The following is a 12,557-nucleotide window of genomic DNA, read 5'->3' as shown; positions in this document are numbered from 1 at the left end:
ACAGAAAACATACCTCAAATATCAAAGGCCATATGTGACAAACCCATGGCCAACATCATACAAAACAGGGAAAAATTAAAAGCCTCTCCTCTAAGGACTAGAACAAGAGAAGTACATTCATTAACCTAAAGACTCCACTAGAAAACTGTTAGAGCTGAAAAACAAATTCAGTACAGTTGCAGGATACAAAATCAACATGTAAAAGTCAGTAGCATTTATATATGCCAAAAGCTAACAATCTGAAAAAGAAATGAAGAATGTAATCCCATTTACAATAGTTACAAAAAATATAAAATATCTTCAAGTCAATTTAACCAAAGAAGTGAAAGATTTATATGAGGAAAACTGTAAAACTCCAATGAAAGAAACTGAAGAAGACAAATAAAAGGAAAGATATCCTATGTTCATGGACTGGAAGAATGAGTATTGTTGAAATGGCAATACTACCCAAAGCCATTTACAGATTCTATACAATACCTATTAAAATACCAATGACATTTTTCACAGAAACAGAAAAAAGAATCCAAAAATTGGTATGGAGCCACAAGAGACCTCAAATAGCCAAAACAATCCTCAGCAAGAGAACAAAGCTGGAAAACAAAATAGGAAAAGGACATCTCTTCAGTAAATGATGCTGAGAAAACTGAATAACTAGGTGCAGAAGAATCAAACTGGACCCTATCTCTCACTATACATAAAAATAAAATCAAAACGGATAAAGGTATAAATCTAAGACCTGAAATTATAAAACTACTGTAAGAAAACATAGGGGAAGTGCTCCAGGACATTGAGCTGAGTCAAAGATTTTTTTGTGTAAGACCTCAAAAGCACAGGCAACCAAAGTAAAAATAGATAAATGGCATTTCATTAAGCTTAAAAGCTTCTGCAAAGAAAACAATTAACAAAGTGAAGAGACAACCCACAAAATGGGAGAAAACATTTTCAAACTCTCCCTTTGACAGGGGATTAATAACCGGAATATATAAAGAGCTCAAGAAACTCCAAAAGCAAACAAAACAAAACGAAACCAACCAACCAAACAAAAAAACCCTAAAAACAGTTAAAAAATGGGCAAAAGATCTGAACAGACATTTCTCAAGAAATAGAAATGGCCAACCAGTATATGAAAAAATGCTGAAAATCACTAACATCAGAGAAATGCAAATCAAAGCCACAATGAGATATCACTTCACCTGCTAAAATGCCTTGTATCAAAAAGACAGGCAATAACAGATGTTGCCAAGCCTATGGAGAAATGGGGACCCTCTTACACACTGTTGGTGGGAATGTAAATTAGTATAGTACAGCCACTATGGGGAACAGTATGAAGGTTCCTCAAAAAACTAAAAATAGAACTACTATGATCCAACATTCCATAATGAATGAATGAATAAAAGAAGTGGCATACATTCACAATGGAATATCACTCATCCATAAAAAAGAATGAAATTCTGGCCAGATGAGGTGGGTCATGCATGTAATCCCAGCAATTTGAGAGGCCAAGGCTGGAGAATCACTTAAGTTCAGGAATTTGACAGCAGCCTGGGCAACAAAATGAGACACCGTCTCTACAAGAAATTTTAAAAAATTAGCCAAGCATAGTGGCTGATGCCTGTAGTCCTAGGTACTTGGGAGGCTGAGGTAGGAAAATTGCTTGAACCTGAGAGGTCAAGGGTGCAGTGAGTCATGATCATGCCACTGCACTCTAGCTTGGGCAACAGAGTAAGACCCTGTCTCAGAAAAAGAATGAAATCCTATCATTTACAGCAACATGAATGGAACTGGAGGCCATTATGTTAACTGAAATAACCCAAGCACAGAAAGACAAATACTGCATGTTCTCACTCATATGTGGAAGCTAAAAAAGTGTATCTCATAAAAATAGAGAGTGGGATGGTAGTTGTCAGAGACTAGGAAGGGTAGCAGGGCTGGGAAGATAAAGGGAAATCAAAAGAATATGAATGTATTTATCAGCACTGAACTGTACACTTCAATGTGGTAAAGATGGTAAATCTTATATGTATGTTTTACCTCAATAAAAAGGATAAAAAAGAATTAAAAAATCCAATTAGATTTAAATATAAAAGCTAAAACTATAAAACTTAAACATTTGTGACATCAGAAAATGTAAATATATCTTAGAACACATAAAGCACAAATCATAAAAGAAAAAAATAAGAGCATGCCTTTTAAAAAATAAAGCACTCCTTCTTTTGAAGGCAAGGCACTGACATAGAGAAAATATCGCAATAAAAATATCTCACAAAGGAGTTGTTTCCATATAATATAAATAATTCTTATAGAGTAACGATAAATGCAATTTTTAAAATGAGCAAAGTATTTGAAAAGACAATTCTTAAAAGATATATGAATGAACAATAAGCACATGAAAAATTGTTAAATCATTAGTCATCATGGTAATGCAAATCAAAACACACATCTTCTAGAAAGCTAAATTAGAAAGACTCACAATACCAAGTGTTGGTGAGGATATGGATCATTAAGAACCCTCATAAAAGCATGGTAGGAATGTGATATGGTACAATTATTTTGGAAAACAGTTTAGCAGTTTCTTATAAAGTTAAACACCTTCCATACGACTCACTCTACTCCTAGGCATTTCTATAAGAGAAATGAAAACATGTGTCTTCCAAAAGACAGAAACGAATTTTCACAGAAGCTTTATTCATAATAGCCCCAAACTGGAACGAATGCAAAAATCCACCAATAGATAAACAGACAAATATTTTGTAATATATTCATATAGCAGAACATTATTTGGCAATGAAAAAGAACACACTTTGGATACACACAACAATGTGGATAAATTTCAAAAATACACTGAAGAAGCCAGACACAAAACAGTACATACAGGATGCTTCCCATTAACATGAAGTTCTAGGACAGGCAAAGCTAATATATGTGTACAATGACAGCACATCAGCTGTTGTCTAGGGATGGGGTAGAAGAGACTTACTACAAAGGAACACACAGAATCTTTTGAGATGGTGGAAGTGTCCTTTCTCAATTTTGGTGGCAGTTACATGAATCTGTATAGACATTTTTCAAAACTTACTGAACTGCACAGTTAAAATGATTCATTTTATTATATGTAAATTAAATCTCAGCAAAGTTGACTAAATCTCAGTCTTTCATATTTAGTTTTCAGAGAGACAGCTGGATTTTAACATCCAGGATGATGCATTGCAATGGAGCAAGCTAAGCCATTCTAAGGCCTGAGCCTTACTCAGCTGCTAGACCAGAGTCCTGGGACTACCTTTCTCTTAAACTCAGTGACATCCAAGGTCCAGAAGTCTACTATTCTGAATCTCTCTGTAACAGAATCCTATATTGGTTATTAAGAGAGGATGGCAAGATTTTGACTAAAATAGAAGTCTCAGAAACACTCATTCTATTTTATGGAATTAGGTGTTGCCCAATTTAAAAACGAACAAAAAGAAGTTGCACGGAGGGCTGCTGTATTCCCAGAGTTTAGCAGTGTCTCTTAAATGAATAAAACAAAAGTAAAAGAAGAGTATTCCTGGAGAAAACCTTAGATCTCTAGAACAGTATATGTGCAAGGAATGAGAGACACAGGGAAGAAGAGAGAAAGAAAAATAGTGGCTTTGTTGAAAACCATCAGGCCAGAAAGCATCTCAGGACTGGCTCTTAGAGCAAGCCCAGCCTACAAAGTGTATAGCCTAAGTAAGTATGTCCAAGTCCTGGAAGTTTGCTTCCTCACTGATTTAATAGAGCCATCCTCACTGCAGCAAATTCCCCAGTGAGGGAAATTTTATTTCCCATGCACCTGCAACTCCCAATTAGATGTATTCAGCTAGAGGTGGTCTGAAAAGTATAGCTCTCATTTCACAGGAACTCCTTGCAGAGCATCTGGCCTCTGCTAAGACACTTACAGGCTGGTCCATTTTCTCTGGACCCACGTGTCTCTTGCTTTCCAGCACAGAGGCGTATGCACATCTCAAATCAGTTAATCAGCATGCACTACTTCCCAATGACAGCCAACAAAGACATTCTAAACATGGTTTGGCTTAGTTCATACAGACCTTGCTACATCTACATTCATCTTTGGCTCATATGTGACCCATCTGTTGATGAAAAATTACAGTGTGTCACATACACCCATACATTCATTGTAGGATTCAGGCTAGAAGTCATGCTTTTGGGGATGTGTCAGAGGAATATGTGGAACAAATTCTGTTGGTTCTTCCCCACTTAATGAAGGATTCCATGCCTTGAATCCCTGGAAAAACATCTGACCAGAAATAGGAAAATGTCCTGATAAGTAAACCAACATGATAAATGAAGATCATTAGCATAATTAAGCTACAGATTTTGGAAAGGAGTGCTAGAGAGGCTTTACATATGGGTGTGAGACTACATTAGAGAAATGATGGATACTTTGAGCAGGGGTAGGACAGGTAACATTTTGCTTTGCCTACAAGGCTTGAGATACTGTGGTTTAACAGGTCACTGATTACCTTGAGGGGCGTCAAACCCCAAATCTAGCATATTTGACAGACTGCTAGCTGTTTTCCAAAAGGTAATAGCATTGGCAGGGGAATTTCTTGGATCCCAAACATGGACTCCTTTAGAACTACTAGGTAAAGGATAACCACATTTTAAGGTATTTTTTTTAACCACTTCCCGAAATGGCAGTTTGCATTACCACCCCTTCCTGCCCCACTTGGAGAAGCAATGCAATATGTAATGTCAAGAGTTTAGACTGAGGATTATAGAATCTGCTCTCTACTCTTGGCTCTGCCAAGAAGAGGGCTACATGACATGGGACAGGTCATTTGTCCCCTCTGAGCCTCAGAAGTGATTAGAGTACTCTGTATTTCCCTGGTTCTTTCTGGGTCTTTCTGTGTTGTTTTCATTCTTTCCTTCTGAATGTTCCCTTTGCTTGTCCTCTAACAGCAATGATTCACTCCGCCTCCCAGTTGGGGCCAATTCTGCTGTTTGACCTGCAGTTGGAGCCAGTGCTGCTTATCCCAGTCAACATTATTGATCAACATTACTGAACAAATAAGTGATCACATACATGAACAAATTTTTGACTCTTTCCTCTCAGCATGCTGGACCTCTCAGTAGGCTGTTATTACATCTCAACAAATAGGGGTGTTAAAATTAACTTAAATTGTGCTCAATTAATCAGAACTTATTCAAGACTTTTTGTGTGTCAGGCATTAAAATAGGCAGGTGCTTGTAGTGATGTGAGATATATGATAAAGTCCTACCCATAGGAAACTTTACCTTGTCTGTGACTTCACACCAACATTTAGTGAGTGCATCAACTGGGGTCCAATCAGGAGACAGGAACCAAACAGTGATTTAAATAAGGGAAGCTTAATATAAAGAATGATTAAGCTGGCTATGCACGGTGGCTCACACCTGTAATCCCAGCGTTCTGGGAGGCCAAGGCAGACAGATCACCTGAGGTCAGGAGTTCAAAACCAGCCTAGCCAACATGGTGAAACCCGTCTCTACTAAAAATACAAAAATTAGCTGGGCACAGTGGCACACACCTGTAATCCCAACTACTTGGGAGGCTGAGGCAGGAGAATCACTTGAACCTGGGAGGCAGAAGCTGCAGTGAGCCAAGATCACGCCACTGCACTCTAGCCTGGGCAACAGAGTGACAACCTGTCTCAAAAAAAAAGATTAAGCTATAAGAAAACAGTAACTATAAGATGTAAGAGAACTTTATAATGTTCCACAGGGCTGAGGGAGAGTGCTCAAGGAAGGATGGAAGGGGATCTTTCCTCAAGGCTCAGGTTCTTATCTGGTTGCAGAAGGTCTAGTTGCACTTCAATGGATGGAAGAGAGGTTTGCTGGCTTGCTCATGCCAGAGCTGGTTAACAGTCACTGAGTAAGAAGAAAGCTACTCTCTAGGAAGTACATGAGCCACAGCCAGATTGGGTATGCACAGATACTTTGGGACTATCACTGTTGGGTAGAAGGCTTGGCACTCCTAGTGTCCATGTCAGGAGGGCAAATCTGAGTGGCAGGGTACAAGTGAGTCACAACTGGTGAGGCAGGTGAGTGGGCATGCAGAGGGGCAAGAGGGCTAGAATTTCTAGTGTCTGTGTTGGGAGGGCTATGAGAAGGTGATCACTAGGATAGGTCAGGGCTGCAAGCTTACCAAGGGACTGTGTGCTCTGGCTGGGGCACAGTACCACCAGATGCACTCACACTCATACCAGTGACCAACAGTGCAGCTGCTGGAGCCTACAAGAGAAGTCCCTTCCTCCTGCAATATCCCTCCAGCACCCTCTACTTAGAAAGCTTAATATGGTGCTCACATAAAGGAGGACAGCTTAAAGGGATTCCAAACATTAACGGCAGAGAGAGAACTCAAGGGAAAATTTGGAGGGACAAAAATTGATAATTGGCACAGTGAAGTATTAAAAGAGCCTTAAACTAGGGATTAGACATTCTGAGTTCTAGTCTGAGTTCAGCTGTGTAATCTTAGGCAAGTGATTTAGGTGTCTTCGTTTTAGTTTGTTCATTTAGAAAATGGAAATAACACTTGTTCAATTAACTAAAGAATAATGCAAGGATCAAACGAGAACAAGCATATAAAAGGATTTCTATAAACTGTAAAGTGCTACACATTTCCAGTGGGTCATTGCTGTAGTAGTTGTATTCAGTTTTACACTTACCATCAAGCTGAGTAATGTTTAGCCTAGAATTAAGGCCAAAGAGATGAGCCCCTATCTTATTTCGAATCCCTGGCACCAAGCACACTTACTTAAACAAAATAAATAGGTTTGTCTTTCTTACTAGAACTACAGTTTAAAAAACTTATTTCTTGATGGATAGTCTCGTGAAGGTATTGCTGTGTCTACTCAATTATGACTAACCATAGTCTCTCAAGGGTGGCCCACACTAATCATTCTCCATTTTTCATCTTACCAGAATGCTGCTGGTGGAGTCAGCAGGAAAAGCCTTTCTGCCCCTGATCAACCTCTACCTGAGGACCTAAGGCAATGCTTTTATTGTAGATCCTGATATGCAAACAGAACTACAGCACTCCAGAAGTAACCTCATTTGACTGGCCTATTAGTTAATGGGTAAATACATGTGTAAATGAACGAATGACTAAGCAAATAGAGTTAACCGGCCAAGGCCGTGCTCAGCATCCTATTAGAATATAGTAATTATAAGGCTATCAAAAACCATTGTTCTTTAAATATAATGCCTTTTCACACACACACACGTGCATGCATGCACACACACACACCCCCACACACTCCTACCTCTGTCCATTTTTCTCCATTCCTTCCTCCACCTTTTCAAATAAATGAAGAAACCTGAGTATACATACAAAATAACTGTTGATTTGTGTATTTGCAGCATGAAACTCACAGTAGAAAATCCCAGGGTTCTGTCTTGGAATCTTGAGCACTGCTCTCTGAGATCTGGAGTCTCTCTCTGTGTGAAGGTTAAGCTCCTGATGGTCTCTGCCTGTCCTGGGACTGCTGTTGATTCATGCAGGGAGAGAGCCGAGAACAAGCTGTGGCTGAAGAGGGCAAAATATGAGGACATGCTAACTGGTTTGGGAAAGGAACCTCCTGACATCTGGCTCTCTGCCCCCACAACAGTGGTCAGGAAGGAGAAGCAGAAAGAGGCAAACAAGCTTAATGGCTCTGAAACATATCATTGGACATTTCAGAGCCCCTTGCAGGGAACTGAAATGTTGCATGTTTTTTAAAGCTAACTATCACTAATTTAATTTAAATAATTTTTTTTGTACTGCCTATAACACATTTTGTGGATGAGGTTCAGCAAAAAAAAAAAAAAAAAAAAAAAAAAAGACACATAAGATTCAGGTATGGTAAATGGTCCAAGGCAGAAACAACTTGGCATTGCAGAATCAGTTTCTTCTGCTTTTGATACACACTGGGATAGGTTAACTACTTCAGGGTGAAAATAACATACGGAAAAAGCCTTTAATTCATTCATTCTCCTGCCTCAAGCACATCTCATGGGTTTCATATGATGTAAATCAGTCCAACTTGCAGATGATCAAATACGTTTAAAAAAGGAGGCACAAAGGTAGGCCTGAAGCCTCTTGGACATCTGTTACTGGAGCACACAAGAGTAACTTGATTCGTCAGTTAACATCTCATCCTCTCTTTTTCTTGGTTTCCTACTTAGCTATGTTCCACTGTAAATGCTTAGTCTGCAAAGAGAGAAGCAATGTTTTCTATTGTTCTTTTCCTTCTACAAATGCAGCAAACAGCCAAAAGATAGAATCAAGCCAGGCTACTGAGGGCATATTCCATACCTCTTCACTTTCCTAGGGAGCTAGAGGGGGATGTTGAAGTTCAAGTTCTCACTCAGAAGTACATAGAGGAAGGTGAGTGTAAGGTCAGTTTCCACCATGCCAGGAACGGGGAGCAGAGACTCTCAATGGTCTATTGTGGCAGGAAGGTAACCAATGAGCCTTTGAAACTGACCCAGCAATGTCTTCCCTCTGCTTTCAGGGAGATGAAATTTTTGCTCATTTAGAATGGAGAGTTAGAAGTGTCAAGCAGGTCTTCTTTGGGAGTCAGAGTAACTGATTTCAAAGCCTTCTTCTCTTACTCGAGGCCTACTTGAGAATTGAAAGATATGAATGATACCTTTGATGTTTTTGCCCATAGCTCTCTACGTTTATCACTGAAAAATAAGACAGATCTGCTAAGACGACTGATAAAGGACAGAGGCTGGAATTGTGATTGCATTAATGGAACCTGACTAGAGAACTTCACAAATGCCCAAATCTTATCCTGCCATTCACTCCTGATGCTGACATTTCCAGAAGAGCTACACATAGGAAGACTGATAGCAACTGGGAACCAAAATGACAATTATCTTTCAGAGCTTGGTAAGGTTGGGTAAGAGCATATGGTTCATTCTTAAGGCCTAAGAAAGACACTCCCTCCCTACCTGCCCCTCTTCCCCACACATCTCAGCTTCTCCTCAAAATCTGGACTCTCTCTATTCCATCCCATAGAGTGGAAACAAGAAATGCAAAAGGAGCACCATCCATGGGCATGGTCTTTTTATGGTTGATCTGGCCATCGATAAACATGGCCAACCAATACTTTAACTGACCAAACATGAATGGCAAGCCATTCTTCCCTAAAGGATGTGGGAGAACGAGAGAGAGGGCCAATAGGGAAGTAGGCAGAGAGGCAGAAGCATTTCTTCCTCTATAACATATTCACCCTATTTCCATAAAAATGTTCTATTTGAAATCCTATACAGAGAAGTTTATGAAATTGATTTGGCTTCCTTTAGTAAACCCTAAAGTAAAAACGCTTAGAAAAATGATGAAATAAGGTTTAAATATTTAATTATAGGAGAATTTTTAACATTTCAAAAAATACAATCCTATGGAAAGAAAATTTGATCTGATGTGGCTCTATTTTTTCAAGCAGACTCTTGTAACCCTGGATCTCCTTACACAGACTATAGAGCTAAATATAAACATTAATTAAAATAATTTTCAAAGATTATCTTGCTTACAGATTTAACTGAAAGTGTAAACTAAAGAAAAGGGATCAAAGAGTAGAAATGCATTTACAGGAATGGCATTAACTTAAGGAAAATGATCCTGGAAAATCAGAGACGGGAAGGGTGCTTCATGGAATCCAGTACAGAACCACAGCACTGTAAAATCAGTGCATTTGGGTAAGTGCTTATTGAGGGCCTGAAGAAATAACCTCACAGATGGTGGCCACCCTCTACTGGTCCATCAGTTTAGGGCACCTATCAACACCTATGAGCCTGCCAAGCAGAACTTTACAAGATCACTGACCCAACCATATGAAGGAGGTTAATAGCATATCTAGCAAAGGTGGCCACCCCCAGAGTCCTCCAAGCCTGCTGTGTGAGAAATGCCTGCACTGGATAATTTGCAAGTCCAGAAAGCCAATGCATCCAAACTCACTGACTTTCTTTTTACTACTCTAGTTACTTTGTTTGGATGACATAAGGAAAGAACATACTTTGCAGTAAGAACCAAAACTCTGACAAAGAAGGCCTTGAGTTTCAAGGATTCACAGGGCATTCTGCCATAAGGTAGAAAAGTTAGATGTTATAAATATTACTCTATCATAAGAAACTGATCCCTCACATTGGGCTCTACATCTAAAGGCACAGTCTTAGTTGCATAAAATTAAACTAAACTGTTACTGAACAGCTTTCTGTGTGGCTCTGTTTATCTTGCCTGCTTTCTGTACTATCTATGTCAACTTTATCTGATTTTTGTCCAGCTGGTATATTTGTGATAAGTTGGAACAATCTGTGCCATGTAAAGGGAGACTTAAAAAAACTTTGTCAGAATTGTCCCACATCAGTGAGGAAAGCCTGTTTGTAGGCAGTGTGTACAGGAGTGTGTGTGTGTGTGTGTGTGTCTATGTGTGTCTTTAATCAAGATACTCTTTTCAGCAGGAAATTAAAATCTTCTGGGTAATGAGCTCAGAAAATCTATACACACTGAACATATATTTCAGTATAAGAATGTTGTTGATGTCTCTCTGGAGCACTTCATTTTGACCCTATCACATAAAACAACTCTGAAATTGCTAGGAATGTAACTGTTTTCAGTCTTGCAGCATCAGTACCCAGAAGCATGTGTAGGTCAACTTCATGACTATCATAAATCTCTTCACAGCAATGCGAGAACTTGCTCTAGCCTTCTGGAGGGCAGAAATCTGGGTCTCTGGCTGGTTATAAGGCTTTTATTCTCATGTTTATCTCCTGGATGATGAATAAAAGGATCAGTGACCTCAGGAGATACTCCCTAGAAGGGATGTGGCTATTCCCTAATGGAATTACCAAATACCAGCATAGCTGGCTAAACCAGTTTGAAAACTACTTTTGTACAACTTTAAGTTTACAATTATTTTAAGAATTTAGATAGTACTGTGCAAATAAATGGAGAGAGCCCAAGGCAGAAAAAAACTACATACTCTATTAATTCATTCATTCAGTATTTCTAAAGCACCCCAATGTTCGTAGAACTACTTGCAGCAGCATGAAAGAGAGTAAGAAGCTGGACTGCAAAGTAGAACACATGGTCTGGAATACACAAGTCACCTTTTCTCTGATCAGCTGGAAATTACTCTGCTCCTCTGTCAAAGCATAAACACATTCTTGGGATGGAGAGGAATGCTGGAGCTTCCAAGGTTGATGTGTTAAAGCAGCCTTATCCAGGGGACAGCAGCTTTTTCCTTTGTCCCCTTATGTAGTCTGGTTGAAACTGCAGAATAATTTGAAATGTGGACTAAAAATAGTGCACAAAGGAAACTTAGAAATCTCAGAAGGAGAGATGAGGAAAGGCCTTGAGAAATCACTGCACTCCTTGCCTTACAGCAAGTCTATATTTATCATAGATTTAAAAAACTTTATTATTGACTTTCCTTTAAAGTTTTGGGTAGAATGTACAGTGTTTTTAATTTTTATTTGCCAATTAAAAAAATACAAACATAAGTCAGAAAAAAATAAATGCAACTATTAAATTTACTATTAACTGCTTTCCTTTACCTAGATTTTTTGAAGGAAAAATCTTTAAAAATCATTAAAAAATCAGGTTCTCATTAAAAGATGCTAAAAATGACTGAACTCTGGTTTCACTAAAAGAAGATTATTATATATTCATTATTTTTCCTGCCTTGGAGATTGAAACAGTCTCTCTAAGCCTCTAGCACCATCTTCCTTACAGATTTGTTGACTGGACTGGCTTCACCTTTCCTGTCTTTGCAGACTACTTCTTTTGAAATAAAAATCAGTAACTTTCCATTTCAAATAAAACAAAGTAGGCTATGAAAACTGCCATCATTTAGATTTGGATTGTAGGCCTCCATAACAGCTAGTACAACCTTATAGTTCAGAGAAAAGCAAAAGAGCTTCAAAAATACTTCAGGAGTGTGCATATGGCGAGATGGGAGCAATGGTTAAAAATCCTTAAAATTCTCCAAAATTAAAAATGCCATTAAGCTTTACTATAAAATACCTCAAATTAATGTGTTCCTAATTTTAGCATTAAATGAAGCTGGTCTATTGAGTAGGACTATTTGCATAATGATGGCAAAAAAAAAATCAAAGTTTTAGGGAAGCAAAATTGATCAGAAATTTAAATTATAATTCCTGAGTAGCTTCTGACTAATGCATCTGAATAAATCAGAACCATCCCAGTCCTCTTATTCAACAGTAGAAAAAGAATTATGGAAAGACTTTGGGGGAAATTTACAATATACCCTTATGGTTTCTCAAAACATTTGTCTCAAAATAACCACACTGAAGGAGGGAGGTGAATATAGGTTCCCAGTAACACTGAGAATTTAGCCTGAATTCGCAGGCTGCAAGCACAAAGGTTTTGTTCTGTTTTTTAAGGTTTCCCATTTCCTCTTTAACATTTATATGCATTTTGCCATAAAATGTAAATCTCCATTTTAAAATATGTTGTACATTACTGGCCAATTATAATAAAATTATGTTGCCACCATATTAGTTAGGCTACAGGCAAACGTGCTGTGTATAGC

Source organism: Homo sapiens, chromosome 5, assembly GCF_000001405.40.
Source record: "Homo sapiens chromosome 5, GRCh38.p14 Primary Assembly".
NCBI lineage: Eukaryota > Metazoa > Chordata > Mammalia > Primates > Hominidae > Homo > Homo sapiens.
This window is presented reverse-complemented; position numbering follows the sequence as displayed.